At 51.7% G+C, this 20,451-nt stretch overlaps 1 protein-coding gene across 5 annotated transcripts in view, besides 5 other annotated features; it reads right to left on the bottom strand.

Annotated features, from left to right (window-relative positions):
• Positions 1 to 20,451, bottom strand: part of RAB11FIP4 (RAB11 family interacting protein 4) — a 146,537-nt gene that overhangs the window by 48,704 nt on the left and 77,382 nt on the right. For 3 of the 5 annotated variants that reach the window (NM_001303542.3, NM_001346747.2, NM_001346749.2), the window contains exon 1: positions 1,236 to 1,400. The exons of 1 other annotated variant lie outside the window; for it this stretch is intronic. In NM_001303542.3, the coding sequence (NP_001290471.2) occupies positions 1,236 to 1,265 (30 nt within the window). In that variant the 5' untranslated portion in view covers positions 1,266 to 1,400. Of the gene's footprint in view, positions 1 to 1,075; positions 1,401 to 20,451 lie in introns of those variants that run through there. One more of the 5 variants, NM_001346748.2, reaches the window with a different exon arrangement.
• Positions 499 to 568: an enhancer, noted in NCBI's record as "active region_12012". NCBI's record gives its function as "activates an Ori minimal core promoter by ATAC-STARR-seq in GM12878 lymphoblastoid cells {active_cell/tissue: GM12878}" and the evidence as "EXISTENCE:reporter gene assay evidence [ECO:0000049][PMID:35858748]".
• Positions 989 to 1,038: a silencer, noted in NCBI's record as "silent region_8411". NCBI's record gives its function as "represses an Ori minimal core promoter by ATAC-STARR-seq in GM12878 lymphoblastoid cells {active_cell/tissue: GM12878}" and the evidence as "EXISTENCE:reporter gene assay evidence [ECO:0000049][PMID:35858748]".
• Positions 1,129 to 1,868: a silencer, noted in NCBI's record as "silent region_8410". NCBI's record gives its function as "represses an Ori minimal core promoter by ATAC-STARR-seq in GM12878 lymphoblastoid cells {active_cell/tissue: GM12878}" and the evidence as "EXISTENCE:reporter gene assay evidence [ECO:0000049][PMID:35858748]".
• Positions 12,365 to 13,181: an enhancer, noted in NCBI's record as "H3K4me1 hESC enhancer chr17:29803345-29804161 (GRCh37/hg19 assembly coordinates)". NCBI's record gives its function as "activates a minimal SCP1, AML or CMV promoter by ChIP-STARR-seq in naive H9 embryonic stem cells {active_cell/tissue: H9 hESC(naive)}" and the evidence as "EXISTENCE:reporter gene assay evidence [ECO:0000049][PMID:30033119]".
• Positions 19,314 to 19,815: an enhancer, noted in NCBI's record as "NANOG-H3K4me1 hESC enhancer chr17:29796711-29797212 (GRCh37/hg19 assembly coordinates)". NCBI's record gives its function as "activates a minimal SCP1, AML or CMV promoter by ChIP-STARR-seq in primed H9 embryonic stem cells {active_cell/tissue: H9 hESC(primed)}" and the evidence as "EXISTENCE:reporter gene assay evidence [ECO:0000049][PMID:30033119]".

The raw sequence follows: 20,451 nt of genomic DNA, 5'->3' as shown, positions 1-20,451 counted from the left end.
ACCTGGGGGAGACCCCAGTCAAAGGCAGCGACTCAGGCACTCCACCAACGCAAGGCTAGTTGGTGGGGGGAGGATATGGGGGGGAGTGAGAGCGCTCCCATTGCAGAGGTCTAGTGGCACACAATTAGTACTGCCTCCGACCCCTTTGAGTCTCCTTTTTCCCATCCCAGCAACCACTGTAACCACCTTTCAGCTGGGCCAGGACCTGGGGATGTTCTAAGGAATGTGCCTGCCCCATTGCTTTTCAGCGTCCCAGAAGCCCAAGCCAATGCCACCTGCCTCCTGCTCTGGCAGGGCAGGGCAGAAGTTTGGTGGATCACCAGGAACCAGCCCAGGGTGCTGCCACTCCAAGACCTGGTGGAGGCTAAGTGCAGAGACAGGACCCAGACCTCTCACATTGCTTTGAGAAAATCGGTCAGTCAAGGAAAACTGGCATGGCCCTCGGGGCGAGTGAGGTGTCATTTCCAGCCCTCTGTGGGAGAGCAGGGTGAGGGAAAAGGGAAAGAGAAGGCACTGGAGAGTTTGCATGGGCGAGGAGTAGGGTGCGGGGCTGTGTCGGAACCCAGTTCCCCACAGCACAGACACGCTCTCCAGAGACTGCGCCGCCAGGACCTTGGAGACACTTGTCGCCCGCACAGAGAAGCGGCTGTGCCAACAGCTCCCACCACCGGGCCAGACCGGCCGCCTCAAGGGCCACAACACACCTCCCACCACTGCAGCTTCTCGGCTGGGGAGAGGCAGGGCCCCGGCCCCACACCACGACCTGGGCTGGCCCCGAGGACTCCCCACCTCCACCATCCCAGAGGGACGGGGGAAGCCAGGAAACAGGCTCTGTGCAGCCGCCAAGAGCTACAGAAAAACTTCGCGGCGCTCAGCCCCCTCGGGGACCCGGCCCAAGGGTACGGCGCTGGGTACCACGCCGATCCCGCAAGGGCAGGAGGGCAGGGGCGCTGCGGCCGGAGGTGGGGCCCGCCGTCGGGTCCCCAGGGAGGCGCCCCAGCAGACGAGCCCCCTTCCTAGTCCACTAAAAGCACTTCCTGGAACTGCGCTGGGGAAGGAGCCGCCACCCGCGCACCTGGCAGCGGCTTCTACTCGCGGCCGAACGAGATGGCTCAGGTAACACGACCTCCCAGGCCAAGTCCGCTCTCCGCCAACTTCCCGGGGCCGCGGGCCGGGCCGAGCCAGGTGCGCGCCGCCGGAGCCCTGCGAGCGCCAGCCCCGGGGCCGCCGCTTACCTGGCTCCCGAGAGCTGGCGGGGTGCGCATCCGCGGGCCGCTCCCCGGCAGAGGCGCGGAAGCCAGCGGGCGCGGGTCGGCGGCGCGCGGGGACGCGGCGGGCAGCCCCGAAGCGCAGGAACAATCGCGGCCGCGCCGCTGCCGCTCGCACTTCTGGGCACCAGTGGAAGGCGCGGCCCCGCCCCCGCCCGTTGCCGGGAGACCCGCGTGGGCCGAAGGGCTCTTTGTATCAAGCTGCGGTGACATCACGAGGCGCCTGGGCCCCGGGACTCGGGGGCGGGGCCTCGCGCCGGGGCGGGGCGGGGGCGGGGGCGGAGGACAGGGACGCGGCCCCGGAACCCGAGCCGCGGGGCGGGGCCCAGGTAACCCCGCCCCCAAGGTAGGGGCAGGTGGCTCCAGGGCGCCGACCAATGGCCGCGCGGCCGGCCCCGCCTCCGGAGGTGGAGCTCGCCTGGGCGCGCCCAGCTCAGGGCAGCCCTGGCTGGGACTCCAGGAGTCGGCGTGTGAGCTCGCGCCCCTGCCAGGTAGGCGCTGTAGTCTCTTGCCCGTTCTGCGCCACCCTCACGGTTTTTTGTCACCGCACTGTGAGATTCCGGCCGGCGCTCCCCGGCTCACACTGCGCACCCCGCCCCACACGGTCCGCCGCCGCCTCCACCCCCTAATGAGTCCGGGGGCGCCTAGGCTGACTTTCATCCAGAGTCCTACCCACAACTTTTCCAGCCTTTTCATGTGAAGTCGGAACCATCTCCATAACCAGCCCAGGAACACAAAGAACCAAGCGGCAACGAGAACTAAAGAACCAAAAAAAAAAAGGAGAGGACCCTTCCTGTTGAATGCTAGTAAATACTATTTATGTCAAACATGTGTCCTCAGGCCGGGCACAGTGGCTCAGACAAAGTGGCCGAGGCGGAGGATCTTTGAGGCCAGGAGTTTGAGACCAGCCTGGGCAACATAGCGACATCTCGTCTCTACAAAAAATTAAATGTTTAAAAATGTACTCCCCATCCCCCCATCACTCTTAACCATGCCCTGGACTTTAAAAAGACAAAAATGAGATGAATGTAAAGCGGCAAATATTGCAAATGTGGTTGCCCTTTGACCTGCTGTTGCACTATATAACTTGAGTGAGGGGAGAGATTTATCTTCCTGTCTGGCTCAAAGCCACCTTTGCCTTCCCTGAGTCTTCACTGGCCAACAAAGTGGCAACGGCACTTTGGTACGGGCAGGACCAGTGGGGCATCTGGGTGCTTTGGTCCTGCACCACCCTACACACCCACCCACACCCACACATGCACACACACACATGCACACACGCACCAGCTTTGCCCACTTCTCTGCCTCTTGGCTGTCAACTTCCTTCTCAGTCTCTCCTGCCAGTAAATTCGCAGCGGCCCCTATGTTTACCAGGGCTTGTCTCTGAGGCAAAGCAGCCGCTGGAGCTCCCAGAACTGCTGGGGACTTTCCAAATGGGACAGCATTAGGTACAGGAGGGCCTCCTGGCCAGAGCCACCTAAGAGAGGAGCTAGAGCTGTGGCCCCAAGAGAAACTCCACTGCCCCAGCCCTCTCCTCGGAAAGTATGCCTTGCTGTTCAGAGATATATGTGCAGAGGCCAGACTGTTTCTCTTGTTTGGGTCCGCTCCCACAGTCTCTAACACACAGGAGCACTGTGGTGTATCATATAGAACACACATGTTGGTTGGATGTGGCGGCTCATGCCTGTAATCCCAGTGCCTATGAGAGGCCAAAGCAGGAGGGTTACTTGTGGCTAGGTATTTGAGGCCAGCTTGGACAACACAGCAAGGTATTTGAGGCCAGATTGGACAACACAGCAAGACCCCATCCCTACCAAAAAATTAGAAATAAAAACATTAGGCAGGTGTGGTGGCACGTACCTGTAGTCCCAGCTACTTGGGAGGCTGAAGAGGATCACTTGAGCCCAGGAGTTTGAGGCTGCAGTGAGCCATGATGGCACCACTGCACTCCAGCCTGGTTGACAGCAAGACCCTGTCTCTATTTGTTTATTTATTTATTTATTTTGAGATTTATATTTCATTCTGTTGCCCAGGCTGGAGTGCAGTGGCGTGAGCTTGGCTCACTGCAACCTCCGCCTCCTGGGTTCAAGCGATTCTTCTGCCTCAGCCTCCCAAGTAGCTGAGACTACTGGTGTGTGCCACCACGCCCAGCTAATTTTTGTATTTTTAGTAGAGACGGGGTTTCACCATATTGGCCAGGCTGGTCTTGAACTCCTAACCTCATGATCTGCCCGCCTTGGCCTCCCAAAGTGCTAGGATTACAGGCGTGAGCCACTGCGCCTGGCTGACCCTGTCTCTATTTAAAAAAAAAATAAGAGTACCTATGTGGTGTATCATACCACTGGCTTTGAAATCAAACAGACTTGGGTTTGAATTGAGTCTTATTTCCCAGATGTCTTGGGACAAGTTCTGTTACTTCTCTAAGACTCAATGTCTTCATCTGTAAGATGGGAATGGTACCTCACAGGATGTTGTACACCCTAGCACAGTGACTACACTTAATTTTAGGCACTCCTCAAAGGTGTGGTATGCGATTGAGCCCATGCACCCTGGGCCCACTCTATCTGCCTTCCCATCTCCACCCTGAGACCTTAAGCTCAGCAGTGTCCCAAAAGGTTTTAGGATGTGGCTGAGTCCAGGGGTTCTATCTTGGTTTCCCTTCTTCCCTTCCAAGTCCGATGTTGCCCCTAAGGATTATTAGGCTCAAAGCAGGTCACATGACAGGATCGTCCAGAACCAAGAAAGAAAAGCAGAAACCAAGGGTGATCATCCCTTCTCTGGTCGTGACTCTCTCCCAGAGAAGGTCAATGGAGAAAGTCAGGCCTGTCAAGCCCCCTCCCTGTCCCCACCATGGGCAGCCTGAGCGACATTTCTCAAGAGCTCTATGGAACGGGTGGTATCAGTAGGTCCTTCTTTATTTTTCTCAAAGGTAGTGGAGTGGGGAATGTCTGCAGGTACTTGTCCTTAAAAGCAGAGTGACAGAGAAAGGCCACAGATGCATTGAACACTCCTGGGTTTGAAGCCTGCCCGGTTCCACTTATCAAGGGAAGTCAATGTTTTGGAGCCTCAGTCTCTACCTCTAGAAAATGGAAATAAGACATTTCCTCTTGCAGTTGTGAAGTTTCAATGAAATGATAAAGTGTCTAGTGCAATGCCTAAGATGCTGCAGGTGCTCAATAAATGGCAGTTCCTAGTCACTACCAGCAGCATGAGTGAGCTGCAGTCTGACGCACTGGTTCTGTGCATGGGTGCCGGGGCCAAGGGCCATATCTTGGCTTTACCACCTTGTTGCTAAATGAACGTAGGCAAGTTTAAGTCCCAGTGTCTCAATTTCCTCATCTTTAAATTGGAGATAATAATAGTATGTATTTTAGAACTATTGTGAGGATCAAAATAATCAGGACCAGTAAAATACATAGAACAGAGCCTGGCACAGAGCAGGTAACCAATAAACAGTAGCTATTACTAATGATCATTATGGCAAGAGGCTGAGGGGAACAGAGGTGAGGATTAGAGGCAGCCTGAGGGAAAATTTAGGACCCTGACTTTTGAGGGAAGGGCTAACACTTTCCAGCAGGGTTCAGAGAAGCAATGATAGTCCAGTGGGGGGTGGGGTGGGGATGGTGACTGTATCTGATGGGTGAGATTAGACACAGGATGAATATGGGATCTGAGGGCTCTAACACAGGCTAGGATTCAGTGTCCTTGGTTCAAACGGGGGCTAAGAGTGAGTTAATAGGAAATATAATCCTGCCTTCTGAGCATAGCACCACCTATGAGGATGTGGGGAAGGAAGGTCTTGAGTTAGGTACCCTGGTCTCTTAGCATTACCTGTGAGGTTCCTTTTTTTTTTTAAAGAGACAATGTCAGGCCCGGCGCAGTGGCTCACTCCTGTAATCCCAGCACTTTGGGAGGCCGAGGCGGGCAGATCACCTGAGGTCAGGAATTCGAGACCAGCCTGGCCAACGTGACGAAACCCTGTCTCTGCTAAAAATACAAAAATTAGCTGGGTGTAGTGGCGAGCGCTTGTAATCCCAGACACTCTGGAGGCTGAGGCAGGAGAATCACTTGAACCTGAGAGGTGGAGGTTGCAGTGAGCCAAGATTGTGCCACTGCACTCCAGCCTAGGTGACAGAGGAAGACTGTCTCAAAAAAAAAAAAAAAAAAAGATAAGATCTTGCTCTGTTGCCTAGGCTGAAGTGCCGTGGCACAATCATAGCTCACTGTAGCCTCAAACTCCTGGGCTCAAGCAATCCCCCCACCTCAGCTTCCCAAAATGCTGGGATTACAGGCATGAGCCACCATGCCTGGCCTCTCTGTGTCTATTTTCTTTCGCTGCCACCATGCAAGAGTTAGCTCAACATTGGATGGTGTAAAGAAGCAACATTCTGCACATGTTTGGGGCCATGTGGAACGACTGGCTAAATATATATATATATGGTTTCATGATCATTATTTTGAGAAAAGAACCCTTCTGAACATTACCTAATGTTAACATTAGCCAAGCAACTGATGCCAACCAATATTAGCCAAGTGAACAAACAACAGCTGACATAAATAGTATTGGAGCTAAAACAAAAAGTCTGGCAAGTTGTTCTCAAACTGAGTTTGTTGGAACCCTCAGGGTTCTGTGGAGACTTCGCAAAAGGGAAGATGTGCTCCAGGGGAACCACAAAAATAGCTCCACTTCTGTCTGCTGTACATGCTGTCTTCTGTATGAAACTTCATGTGAATAAAGGGTTCTATGGCTTTAAAAATATTTAAAATCACTGGTATAGTATAACCATTTCCCAGACAGGGGAATGAGCCCCAGAGGTGGGAAATGGCATCTCCCCTCACAAGTAGCACACTCAGTTAGTGGTGGAGCCAGGAGTAGAGCCAGGTTGCATTACTCTCAGTCTAGTGCTCTCCAAGGTGGACACCAGTCATTAATCAGGACTGTGAGCATCAGTCAAACCTGGTCCATCTTAGCAGGGCTTGATTCTGTCAACGCACACACAGAGGACATTCTTTCTTTACTTTTTTTTTTTTTTTTTTTTTTTTTTTTGAGATGCAGTCTCACTCTGTCACCCGGGCTGGAATGCAATGGCATGATCTCGGCTCACTGCAAACTCCGCCTCCAGGGTTCAAGCGATTCTCCTGCCTCAGCCTCCTGAGTAGCTGGGACTATAGGCGCATGACACCACGCCTGGCTAATTTTTGTATTTTTAGTAGAGACGGGGTTTCACCATGTTGGTCAGGATAGCCTCGAACTCCTGATCCCGTGATCCGCCCGCCTCGGCCTCCCAAAGTGCTGGGATTATGGGTGTGAGCCACTGCCCCCGGCCAGAGGACATTATTTCTGCCCAGCTGGGGCTCTATGTGTGGAAAAGCCCCCCTGGCAGCTGGCTAGGACTTTACCACAAGTACTTGTCCTCTCTCACCTCTCTCTCAGAGGTCCATTGACTCCACGCTCAGGAAGTTCAGCTACAACTCTTAAATCTCAGCTTTCATCCCAGGTGGTAAATTCAGTATTTGATGACTTAAGCAGTGGCTTAGGGAAGGGACTACCAAGCAAATAGGCAGGACTCTGAGACTGCAGAGGCCTCTTGACCCCAAAGGAAAGTCATTCCTAATTTTTTTTCTTTTCTTTTTTTTTTCTTTTTTTTTCTTTTAGAGTCTCCCTCTGTCGCCCAAGCTGGAGTGCAGTGGTGCGATCTTTGCTCACTGCAACCTCTGTCTCCTGGGTTCAGGTGATTCTTGTGCCTCCGCCTCCTGAGTAACTGAGATTACAGGCATATGCCACCACACTTAGCTAACTTTTTGTATTTTTAGTAGAGATGGGGTTTTGCTATGTTGGCCAGGCTAGTCTTGAACTGGCCTCAAGTGATCTGCCTGCCTCGGCCTCCCAAAGTGCTGGGATTACAGGCGTGAGCCACCGCACCTGGCCCCCAATTTTTTATTTAGAAAAAAAATGGGAATGACTCTTGGATCCAAAAGCCCTCTCTCGCCAGTGGGGATGTGTCTAGGGGTCTGCACTAAGCTGGCATCTTCTCTGACCACTCCTTCCTCTGCCTCTTCCCACCAAACCCAGTGAAGATGCAGGAGGCCTGGGTTCTGGGCTCTCCCTAACTTTTTGGGCCTCAGACTCCTCCCCTGGAAGAGCTTTTAGCTGGACAGCACATCTTTAGGTCTCTTCCAATTCTGCAACTCTGTGCCAGCCCAGGAGAGGATCTTGGACTGTGGAAACAAGGTGTTTCCCTTGGCAAACACTCCGGTGTTGGTGACTGTCCACTGGCCGGGATGATTTCACCAGCCTGCCCCCGGGGCTGGGTTCTCTTGTAACATCTGGCTGGATGCTGTGCAGACGGGGTGGGACCTGGTCTTATTGACTCTGGAGCCCAGGTTGAGTCTTCAGAAGCTCCAAGCTCTATTTGTGTCAACCTGTGCATGTATAAACAATGGGTTTTCTTACTCATTCAAGCTCAACGAAAGGGGGAAAATGGTGAGAAAACCAGTGTTTCCTCCCTAACAAACAAGCCCCCTGACTCATTCAGTCATCCAAGAAGAGGAGGTGGCAGGGGAGGAGGAAGTCCAGCAAGGTGTTCTTTTGACTTGAATTGGGTGAGAGCAAGGAGAAAAACTTCGTTTTCCTCTACTCTTGGTAACATCAGAGTTACCCAGACAGCAAAACCCAGGCAGCAAAAACAACTCTCCTTTCCCCAAACACCTCACCCTCCCCACCTCCTCCCAGACTTGGGCAGCACAGAGGTCCCACCCTGCGTGCCACTACCCATGTCTCTGATTGGCTATTAACTCAGCTAGAAGCTTTGTAGGAGTGGACTGCCCTTTTTCAGGAGTGGACAACCCTTTAAAGCAGTGGTTCCTAAACTGCACCGCACATCAGGATCACTTGAAGAACTTAAAAAACGCTTGGAATCACTTGAACCTAAAAAAATGTCAATAACATACCCCATGGCAACCTAATCCGAATGTCACGGTGGAAGCCAGGTGTTGGCAGTTTTTAAAGATCCCAGTGATTCTGATGCAGCAGTTTGGGAACTGCTTTGCTAAAGGCTTGCTGACAACAGTGGGTGCTGACATGATCACAGGTGAAGGGATCGTTTGTTCTTTGATTCCTTCATTCATTCTTTAATTCATTCCTTCATTCTTTCATTCATTCCTTCATTCTTTCAGTCATTCCTTCATTAATTCCTTCATTTGTTCAAAACAGTTAGTGCCAGGCTCTGTTCTAGGTGTTGTAGACACAGCCTTGATCAGTACCAAGTCTTGGTTGATTCTTGTGGAGCTGACATTTTAGTGGGAGAAGTCAGATGATGAAACAATAAATTAATGAGTGACATATATAATATGTGCTCTGAAGAAAAACAAAGCAGGGTATGGGCATAGAGAGACCCTGGAGGCAGGGAGACTATTTTCTTTCTTTTTTTTTTTTTTTTTTTTTTTGAGACGGAGTCTGGAGTCTGGCTCTGTCGCCAGGCTGGAGTGCAGTGGCGTGATCTCGGCTCACTGCAACCTCTGCCTCCTGGGTTCAAGCGATACTCGTGCCTCAGCCTCCCGAGTAGCTGGGATCACAGGCACGTGCCACCACACCCAGCTAATTTTTTTATTTTTAGTAGAGAGAGGGTTTCACCATGTTGGCCAGGGTGGTCTCGATCTCCTGACCTAAAGCGATCCACCCACCTCGGCCTCAAAGTGGTGGGATTACAGGCGTGAGCCACCGCACCCGGCCAGGGGGACTATTTTCACTATGGATTTAGGCACCAATTTTTGCTTCAGGAAAGGGTGGCTGTGCACTTGCCTGCTACTCCAGACTTTATCATTTATCCACTCTCTGGCCAAAACAGCCTTTCTTGACCATGCTCAATGTCCTACCTGCTGCCTCCCTGCTTGCCTCTTTCTCATAAGCTCCTCCTTCAGGGCCGAGGCCTGGCATCCTGGCACACAATGTTCTCGCTCCTCCTCCTCCCCAACTGTCAGCAGTAACATCTGACAGGGGCCTGAGTGAGGCAGTAATCTGTCAAGGATCATTTATGTGCAGCCGCCGAGGGCTTGTGGGGTGAGAGGCCGTGTGGAGCAGTGGAGAAACAGTGGAACTCAGGGCCAGAAGACCTGGATTTGAGGCCTGGATCTGCCACATATTGGCTAAAGGCAAGTAACTTCACCGAGCCTCAGTTTCCTCCTCAGTCAAATGGAGAGAGTACAACCAACTTTGTAAGACTGGGAGATGCGTTAGAAGAGAAAAAGTCAAAGACTTTTGCCCCGTGTTTTGCAAATATGAGGACTTTAAAACAATTATCTAGGCCTATATAAACATGAAATCACAATGCATTAAAGCTGGAAGGGATCCCATTTCACCAATGGGAAACAGGCCGAGAGAGAAGAAATGACTTACCTATAGTCACAAAGCTTGCTAACGGCAGATGGACCCACACCAATCCTAGAAAAGGGAGGTGGTTGGGAGTAGAGTAGGTATGCTGTTTTTAGTACCAAACTTTTGGCCTCCTCTGTCCACCAGGCAAACTCCTATTCATCCTTCAAAACTCCACCCAGGTATGATTTCCCAGGTGATGCCTTCCCTGTCTTCTCCAGTGATAATAAATTATTCCTTGGCTTCATGATGTCTATGCCTCAATCACAAGCTGTGTTACTAAGAGGAACACACTGAATTGTCAGGATTGGCCTCCTGTCAGGTCCCCTACCATTCTGCAATTCCTGAGGACAGGGTCCATGCCCCTGGTGTCTTTGGACTTAAGCTCCTAACATGTCTGGCACACAGTAATCACCTGGGGAATGGTTAGGGCCCTGAATGGGACTGAGAATCCCTCACCCACAGACAATGGAAAGCTGAGGACTTGATTTTTGAATTAGCGGAAGCCTTTTCTGAAGTTCCTGAGATGGGCATTTGAAAGGTGAGAGACCTTCTCAAGTCAGGCTGCCCTCTTCCCAGACACATCAGATCTCAACTCTGAAGAAACAATTCCTCTACCTAATGGGAACCTTGGACAAGGGCCCTGAAACCAAGGAGAGAACATTTCCCTGCAGCCTATTGTTGATAACAGCTATGTACTATGTGCCAGCCACTTCATTTCTTAATTTAATCCAACAATCTTGTAGAGTAGATGTTACTGCACTCATGAAACAAATAAGGAAACTGAGGCTCAAGAGGATTAAGTGGTGGCAGAGACAAGATTTGTACCCAGATCTGGCCCACGTTCAGGACTCCCTTCTGCCTCTCTTGTTGCATCACTGGCTTACTTACAGCAACCGGAATTGCCTGGGAAGCAGCAGAAACTAATTGGTAAGGATGATTGAAGACCATGAGCAATTAAAGGCCTCAAGTTCCTCTTCATCATCCTTGGGTTGCAGGTGTCTGCTGTCCAGCTCAGCAGTGTCTCAGTCAGTGGCAGCCCACATCAGGTGTCTATGATTTGCCACATGCACCTCTGCAGTCCTACCTGCTGGCTTAGAGCTGAGGACTGGCCACTACCTGCTGTTGACTTGGCTGCTGCCTCCTGCCCCAGTTCTAAGCCCAGGGAGATGCATCCTGCCATTTCCCTGGCTGCTACCAGATAAGCTAAGCAGTATGAGGCCAGGGCTCCAGGGAGGGAGGGAAGGAAGCAGTATTTGTTGTCTTCAAAGACGTGTTTTGTGGAAACCCCATCCCACTCTGATAGCAAGAAATTGATCTGTGGTCAAATCAGCCGGTGAAATTCTTCACTCCCTCTTGAAGATGTCACAGGCACCTCTGCAGGAGAGAAGCCTCCCTAGCTTTTAACCCCAGGCTTCCTTAAGGCAACTGGGCTTGGACAGGACCCTTCTTATTTAACATTTAACAACACAAGGGATCAGTGTTCTGAGAAGAGCACACCTGGGCAAACAATGCACCAGGCTCCCAACACGCGCGGAAGGCAGACGTTATGTTCATCTTAAAGGTATTTACAGCTGGCCAGGCACGGTGGCTCATGCCTGTAATCCCAGCACTTTGGGAGACCAAGGCGGGTGAATCATTTGAGGTCAAGAGTTCGAGACCAGCCTGGCCAACATAGTGAAACCCCGTCTCTACTAAAAATACAAAAATTAGCCAGGTGTGGTGGTGGTCGCCTATAATCCCAGCTACTCAGGAAGCTGAGGCAGGGGAATCGCTTGAACCCAGGAGGTGGAGGTTGCAGTGAGCCGAGATCTAGCCACTGCACTCCAGCCTGGGTGACAGAGACTCTGTCTCAAAAAAAAAAAAAAAAAAGTATTAACAGCAAATGGCCACATAGCACTTAATATATACAAGCTCCGTTCTAGTGCTTCACATGATATGAGCTCATTTAATCCTCCCGACAACCCTACGAGGCAGGTATTATCCCCATTTTACAGATGGGGAAACTGAGGCTCAGAGAGGTTACTCAAGGACATACAGCTAGTAAGTTGAGAGCCAGGAGTCAAACCCAGGCAGCCTGGCTCCAGAGACTGTGCACCTAGCCGTTATCCTATGTAAAAAAGAGAGGCTCGGTTTTGTATAATAAAATAACTTCCCCAAAGTAACCATCATAGAACCAAGACCATTCATTCATTCACCCCGTCATTCATTTACTCAAACAAGAATCACTGAGCAGAAACCGCAGGCCAGACCTAGTGCTGGCCACCCAGAGACCAAGGAAGAACAAGGTGCAGCCTTGCTGTGGACCTGCCGGCTGCCTGTCCAGGCGCCTCTGACGCCCGCGCTGCTCTTCTCCCCACAGCTTGTCTGGGGACCTGGGGCTCTGCTGTCAGCTTCGCACCCTCCCAGCCGTGGCTTCTCATCTATATCTGATGGGTCAAGGAGGGTGGGCGGGGAGCACCCAGCTTCTCCCCAAGCCCAGGCTCCTTCCTCAGCCCCACAGGGGAGCACTGAGCCCCCCACCAGGTAAGTGCCCCCTCCTCACAGTCGTGTGGTTGCTCCCTGCCTGAGGAACACTCCAGGTGGCAGCCATTAGTCTCAGATTTAGCGGCCTCCTGAGAGGCGGGATGACAGTGGACGATGACGACTCTGAGTCTGTTCTGGGGTTGGAAGGACACACACTGAAGGGCTTGTAACTCCACTCTGAAAGCAGAGTCCCCCGCAATTGTCTCCTAAATTATCTCAGTGATGCTGGGATGAAGAAGTATCCCAAACCACAACACGCAAGCTACCCCACAAAAGACAGAAGAAGGGCTGCAGACTCTGCCCTGTGGAGAAGGTGGTGGGGCTGGGGAGAGGGCGGCTCCCTGGGGCCTGCCCAAGTTTATCCCCTGAATAAACAGGAGGCCACAGCAGACCGGATGGGCTGGTGTCGGGAGACTGGCTGGCCTCCGTGCTCAGTCACAGATGCCTCCTTTGTGCCTCCCCTGCCAGGGCTGGGCTGGGCAAAGGAAAACCAAAGGTGCCCGGCCTCTGGACACGGAGCCACTGTTCCACCCACTTAGGGGAAAACCACGGCCCAGCAACAGCTCTGTGGCTGCAGCCCAGGAGGGCTGAAGGAGCTTCTGTGTTCACGTAGAAACTGGAGAGGCCAGTGCAGTGGGGAGGCAGGCTGCTCATGGGGTGCCCTAAAAAAGAAACCTTTCTTCCAGGCCAGGTCCCCTGTGGTCCCCACTGGATCACAAGGCCACATTCATGGGGTGAAGCCCCCTAGTGCCCCACCAGCCCAGGTTTCAGCCCCAGCTCTGCTATTACTACCTGTAGCTCGTCTAGTCTCTTAGCCTTGGTTTCTTATGTGACCAACAGAGTTAATAGTACACACGAGGCCAGGCACGGTGGCTCACACCTATAATCCCAGCACTTTGGGAGCCCGAGGTGGGTGGATCCCTTGAGGTTAGGAGTTTGAGACCAGCCTGGCCAACATGGTGAAATCCCGTCTCTACTAAAAATACAAACATTAGCTGGGCGTGATGGCACGTGCCTGTAATCCCAGCTACTTGGGAGGCTGAGGCAGGAGAATCACTTGAACCCAGGAGGCAGACATTGCAGTGAGCCAAGATTGCACCACTGCACTCCAGCCTGGGTGACAGAGGAGGACACCGTATCAAAAAAAAAAAAAAAAAAAAAAAAAAAAAAGTTCAGTCGATTCTCATTATTTGCAGTAGTTATGCTCTATGAAGTCACTACAAACACAGAATCGTGAATACTGAACCATTGCCCCTAGGGGAAATACTGGTTCAATTCCTGTGAGCCTCTGATCACAACATTTTCATCAAACGATCAATGCATAACCTTGTTTTAAGCATGTCTCTGTTTAAAGACACTATATTTAATACATATTGTTGATTCATTAACATTGAACTCACTGTAGCTCATGCCTGGGCAAAGCTTATCTAACACTCAGTCGTTATTTTCTCCACAAGGCACGTCCCAGCCTTCTTGCATTTAGGAACACTAGACAGCCTTTGGGGGCCATTTCAAATAGCAAAATCGCCAAAAAAAAAAAAAACCACACAAAAATGCAGAAAACGTGGCACTAACTAGACCGTGAAGAGGACACTTGTTTACAGTATGAGAGCTGAAACAAGAAGGCCGCTTGTCGCCTTGTTTGACCTCAGCTGGGAACATGCACGTTGGGCAACTCACATCTTCACCACCGTGAGAATGTTTGCAAATGATCACAAAGGCTCTGCGAGTATTGATTTTGGTGTTACAAATGAATTTCAGCAAGCAGGCAAATTTGCAAATACAGAATGTGCAAGTAATAAGGACCAACTGTATCTGTGTCACAGGGGTTTTGAGGGATGGCTTGTTAAATGAAAGAATGCACGACGAATGCTTAAGCGTAGCAACAGCTCACATCTTTTTACTGTAACTAGTATTATTTGCTGAACCTACCACGTCTTGACAGCTTAGAATGTCTTTCTTTGTGCTTTTTCCAGTGAATGAAGCCCAGAGTCAGGTTTGAAGCGCACCAGTGCCCTTTGCAGCTGGGAGACTTGCAGGTTAAGCTGACTCTCCTCTCTTCTTGTCTTCTCATCTCCAGCACTGCTTCCCACCACTCACTCACAGCCAGTGACCATGCCCAGTGACCTCCCCACCAGCTCTACACACCAACCTGCACAGGTGCCTCTACTCTGCCTTCTTCTTGATACAAAGCATTATTCACAGATGGACCCTTCCATGTGGGCCCTGGACCCCATCCCCTTCAAGGTTTTGCTCCTGCCCTCCCCTTCTGAATCATCCATTTCTCCTTCTCTATGAGTTCCTCTCCTCACCACATTATGCCCCTGGCTTTAAACGTTCCTTCAAGTTCCTCCCTGAACACCACAGCGGTTGAAATGAACTAACTAGAGTGTCACGGGTCCTCATCTTACCTTAACAATCCTCATAGCACCTGGTGAGGTGAATCTCTGTTTTTTTTTTGTTTTTTGTTTTGTTTTGTTTTGTTTTGTTTTGTTTTTTGAGACAGTGTTTCGCTCTGTCGTGCCCAGGCTAGAGTGCAGTGGTGCAATCTTGGCTCACTGCAACCTCCACCTCCCGGGTTCAAGCTATTCTCCTGCCTTAGCCTCCCAAGTAGATGGGATTACAGGCACCGGATCTCTCCTTTAAACACTTTCTCTCTTTTTTTTTTTTTTTTGAGATGGAGTCTAGCTCTGTCCCCCAGGCTGGAGTGCAGTGGCGCAATCTCAGCTTACTGAAGCCTCTGTCTCCCAGGTTCAAGTGAATCTCCTGCCTCAGCCCCGAGTAGCTGGAACTACAGGCATGCACCACCACACCTGGCTAACTTGTGTATTTTCAGTAGAGATGGGTTTCATCATATTGGCCAGGCTGGTCTCAAACTCCTGACCTTAAGTGATCCACCCTCCTCGGCCTCCCAAAGTGCTGGGATTACAGGTGTGAGCCACCGCACCTGGTCCCTTTAAACCTTTCTTAGCTTGGTTCCAGGGCACCACCCCTCCAACCTCCTCAGCTCTCAAGGTTGGCATGCTCTGTGCTTCAATCCTCTTCCCTTCTCACCTAGCCTGAGACTTTAAATTCCACCAGTGCTGATGTCCCCACCCCACATTGTTGCCACCCAGCCTAGACCTCTTCCTGGAGCTCCGAACTAAATGCATCCAATTGCCTGTGAGGAAGTTGACTGGGGAATGTCTTAGGGCTTGGCCTGTGAGGGCACAAGGGATGCAGGATGGGCAGAGGGAGAAGTGGATTGCATTGCAGCTGCAATGAGCCTCAGCTGATCCCCGGGGCATCTGGAGCCAAGATAGTCCTTCAAAGTTGCCCAGAAAGAGGCAAGGGGGCAAAATCATTGTGTCCCCACCTGGACCAGCCTTCAGATGAGGGCTGCCCCAGGATGGGTCTGTCATCTTGGGCAAGGCAGCCCCTTTGGCTCCTGGGGACGGTCTGCAGCAGCCAACACTTCTGGCAGGTGGCCTTGGACCTCAAGGGGATGTGGATGCATACCACAGTGTGCAGACGACTTCAACTGACTATCCAGTGGGCAGCTCAAATTAACATGCTTACCACCCAAATGTCAAGTTTCCCTCCATGCCCGCTGAGCAAATCGCACCAACCTCCATGCAGGAGCTCAGGTGAGGACCATGGAATAGCCCTGGATGGCTCTTTCCTCCACCTACATCAGCAGTCCTGGCAGCCTGGCCGAGCTGACCGCCTCCTTCTCACCTTCTTTTCCCTGGACAAATGCAACCACCTAACTCTTCCCGATTCCAGTGCTGTCTTCCTCCAGGTGCTGCAGGGGCTCTTTTTTGAGACAGAGTCTCACTCTGTCGCCCAGGCTGAAGCGCAGTGGCGTGATCTCAGCTCATGCAGCCTCTAACACCTGGGCTGCAGTGATGCTCCCATCTCAGCCTCCGAGTAGCTAGGACTACAGGAACATGCCACCATGCCCAGCTAATTTTTTTTTTTTTTTTGGTAGAGACTGGGTCTTGCTTTGTTGTCCAGGCTGGTCTTGAACTCCTGGCCTCAAGCAATCCACCTGCCTCAGCCTCCCAAAGTGCTGGGATTATAAGCGTGAGCCACTGTGACTGGCCAGGGATATTTTTAAAACATCAGGCAGGTCTTGTCATTTCCCAGCTAAAAGCCCTTGCCTGGCCTCTTGTGCAGACTCCTTGCTTGTGCTCTCAGAACCTCTGCCCGGGTCCTCCTTCCATTCCATTCCACCTTCCCATCACTCAGCCACCAAACAGCCAAGCTCTTTCCCACTCCCCCACCTCACGTGCCTCCATCCCTCACTTCTTTTTTCTTTTTTGTTTTTTTGAGACGAGTCTTGCTCTGTTGCTCAGGCTGGAGTGTAGTGGCATAATCTCGGCTCACTGCAACCTCCACCTCCCAGGTTCAAGCGATTCTCCTGCCTCAGCCTCCTGAGTAGCTGGGTCTACAGGTGCCTGCCACCACGCCCAGCTAATTTTCGTATTTTTAGTAGAGATGGGGTTTCACCATGTTGGCCAGGCTGGTCTCGAACTCCTGACCTCAAGAGATCCACCCTCCTCAGCCTCCCAAAGTACTGGGATTACGGGCATGAACCACCATGCCTGGCCTCCATCCCTCACTTCTGTCTGGCTCGGCTCACGTCACCTCCTGCATGAGGCCCTCTTCCTAGAGAAAAACCCCCACCATGGCCATCCCTGTCTTCCCTTCTGCTTCGCCTTCTTGATGCACTTTCTCTATCAGCATGGGCGCTACTGACTTATTTCCGTGTTCATGGTCTTGCTTCTCCCCTCAGACCGCAATTCTTTGAGAGAAGGGACCATGTCTTCCTGTGCGCAGGTGTATCCCTGGTGTGCGGCTGGGATTCATCCTGGGCCGGTTGTGAGGACCAGGGATGGTGAGCGCTGGGGCCGCCTGTGGCCGTGTCTCTGAATGAAGCCTTTATGATGAGAGCCATGACTCAGCGCGTAAGGCCCAGCTTGGCTGCCAGCTCCCTGCGGCTGGCCCCGACCCCCAGGGCAGAACCAGCCACTCTCTCCCCAGGTTCCCTGCGCTGGGTATGGGGGGAGCACTCATCACGCGGCACTGCACAGTGGTTCTTTATGAGCCCAGGGCGGTGCTCAGCCAAGGTCTGGGGACCTGACCTCAGGTGGGCAGCCCCTTTCCTGTTCTGTGACTCTGCATTTTTTTTTTTTTTTGAGACAGACTTTTGCTCTTTTTGCCCAGGCTGGAGTGCAATGGCACGATCTCAGCTCACTGCAACCTCCGCCTCCCGGGTTCAAGCTATTCTCCTGCCTCAGCCTTCCGAGTAGCTGGGATTACAGGCACTCGCCACCACGCCCGGCTAATTTTTTGTATTTTTAGTAGAGATGGGGTTTCACTATGTTGGCCGGGATGGTCTCAATCTCTTGACCTTGTGATCCACCCACCTCTGCCTCCCAAAGTGCTGGGATTACAGGCGTGAGCCACTGCGCCCGGCCCCGTGACTCTGCATTTGAGGGCTTCAGCCAGGGCGCCTCCCCACCTGAAAAGGCTCCCTGTTTCAGACACACATCCAGGCCCAGCCTGCAAGGCTCATCGCCAACTTGAGCGTCAGGCTCTCCCACTGGGCAGCAGCAGGGTGGGGGCCTTTCATCCTCACATTAGCACCGAGAGCTCGGGAGCTGCTTCTGTGCACACCCAGACTGTCCCCCAGCACCTCTAGCCTGCTCACAGCTGGGCACACGGCCACCTCTCTCCCCTTCAGCAGCCCTGACTTTGCAGCTGGGCTCCGCCACTTCCCAGCTGGGTGACCTGCTTGACAGCTGAGCCTGTTATCTGTGAAATGGGGATAGGAATAGTATCTCTCTCACGAGGTTGTTGGGGGCTTGGCTGGGGTAACATGTCTAAAGCAGTTAGTTCCTGTGACCTCAGTATGTGTGCATTTCTATGAGTGCTCCGGCACTGATATGTGACCAAATATTATAATCCTGGACACTTAAAAAACTCCCATTTCCAGCTGGGCGCAGTGGCTCACGTCTGTAATCCCAGCACTTTAGAAGGCTGAGGCAGGAGGATCACCTGAGGCCATGAGTTTGAGACCAGCCTTGACAACACAGTAAGATCTTATCTCTACAAAAAAAAAAAAAAAATTAGCTGGGCATGGTGGTGTGTGCCTGTGGTCCCAGGTACACAGGAGGTTGGGGTGGAAGGATCGTTTGAGGTCAGGAGGCCAAGGCTGCAGTGAGCCATGATCGCACCCCTGCACTCCAGCCTGGGTGGCAGTGAAACCCTATCTCAAAAAAAAAAAAAACCTTCCATTTCCCAGACATACTTTTATGACATATGATTTTAAAACATTTCCTTCAGCTTTTAACCAGGGCTAATGGAAATATCAAAAGTTTCTGTATTTAAAAACAATAACATTGATTTTTAAAATAAAACTTCTACAGAAAACTGCATCTACTATGTGGCCCATTGTCTCCTCTATAATGACTCCCCTCCTCCTTGAAGCCTTTATGATGAGTGCCATGACTCAGCTGGCAAGGCCCTCCTGCCAGGAGTTTATAGGGGACGGTCATTACAGAGGAGACAATGTTCACTTGCCTCTCTGAGCCTCAGTGCTCACATCTGTGAAATAGGGATAAACGTACCTACCACACAGGACAGTTAAGAGGCCCACTCAGTAACTGGCTTCATGCACCTAGCAGAGTGGGTGGCACATGGTAGGTGCTTAGGCAGCACTCATCCCCATGGTGCCACACCCAGCCCATGTGTTAAGCACCTGCTTCCCTCCATTGGATCATGAGAGCCATGTATCATCCATTCCTGCTTCTGCCAGGCCTGTGGGGATGCTCAGATATAAGCCTGCTTCCCTACTGTAGTTCTGTGGGCCCAATACTTGGGCTCTCCCTGCTTGCCTACTTGCCTTTTGAACTCTGACCTTCATGGTTTTAAGGCATCTCATGTCTCTCACTGTGAGCACCTCCAAGGCCACAAGTAGCAGAGCATCAATCACCCTTCCAGGAAGAAATGTGCCAGGGGGTAGAGCAGAAAGCCAGGAGAGGGCTGGTGTTTGCATCAATGAGGGCCAGATCTGCATACCCATGGTGCAGGTGCCTGAGGACCACAGGAGGGCTTCCTGTGTCTGGGAGACTGACTGTTCTTGGACTCTGCTACCCCAGGGAGGTCACAACCACTTTGATAGTGGCAGGCAGAGGATGTGGGATGGGTCTCAGAAGCAGCGACTCTCAGGCCCTCGGCTTCCTCTGTTCCCACAGTGAGAGGGGAGGAGATTAGACTGTGTGGCCTCTGAGAAGGTCATGAGGTCACATGAGTCTGCAGGGGCACCCCTGCTCTGTGTCAGGCACATGGTGTGAAGGAAGGACCTGTGAGGCAGTCAGGTGGAGATTTCAATTCCAGCTCCTTCATTTAGTATTTATGTCAGCTCAGGTAAAGCCACTCTTGCCTGGGTCTCCGCTTACTCATCTCAGAGTTGTTGAGAGGCTCAGAGGAGACAATATTTGCTTAGATTTTAGTTGGACCGCCAAACGGTTTAGTTGCTTTAATTAATGTCACCATGCCAGATTGCCTTACGGATAGACATGCAGAAACTGCAAGCAAACCAGAAATGAGAATAAGAATTCTTCCCTACTCTTTCGTAATGTCTCAAAGAGGCCTTTCCTTATGCCCCAAATCAAAATCTTTTCTTTCTCCTAGATATAGTCTCGCTTTTTTTTTTTTTTTTTTTGAGAGAGGGTCTCACTTTGTCACCCAGGCTGGAGTACAATGGCATGGCATGATCATGGTTCACTGCAGCTTCAACCTCCTCAGCTCAAGTGATCCTCCTGCCTCAGCCTCCTGAGTAGCTGGGACTACAGGCACACACCACCATGCCTAGCTCATTTTTTTTAAAATTTATTTTTGTGGAGACAAGATCTCATTATGTTGCACAGGCTAGTCTCAAACTCCTGGGCTCAAGTGATCCTCCTCCCAAAGTGCTGGGATTGTAGGCATGGGCCACCGTGCCTGGCCTTGCCTTGTTTTCTCATAGCACCTGTCCTCATTCCATTTGGACCTGCCTATGTGTGTGAGTAACTGCCCAATTACCCCTCCCAGACCGAAAGCTTTAAGAGGGGCCATTGGTTCCCCAGTGCTCAGAACAGCCCCTGGCCCATCGTGAACGCTACATATTAGATGAGCTAATGAATGCATGTGTCAGGTGCACAGCATCTGCCCACACCACGTTTGATGTTACTTGGGCAATCTGCAAATGTCTAATGCTCACAGGAACCCTGAGGGCAATAAGAATGAAAGCCAATACTT

The sequence above is a fragment of the Homo sapiens genome, chromosome 17 (assembly GCF_000001405.40).
Source record: "Homo sapiens chromosome 17, GRCh38.p14 Primary Assembly".
Lineage (NCBI taxonomy): Eukaryota > Metazoa > Chordata > Mammalia > Primates > Hominidae > Homo > Homo sapiens.
The sequence above is the reverse complement of the archived record's forward strand: the minus strand, read 5'-3'. Positions and strand labels throughout refer to the sequence as shown.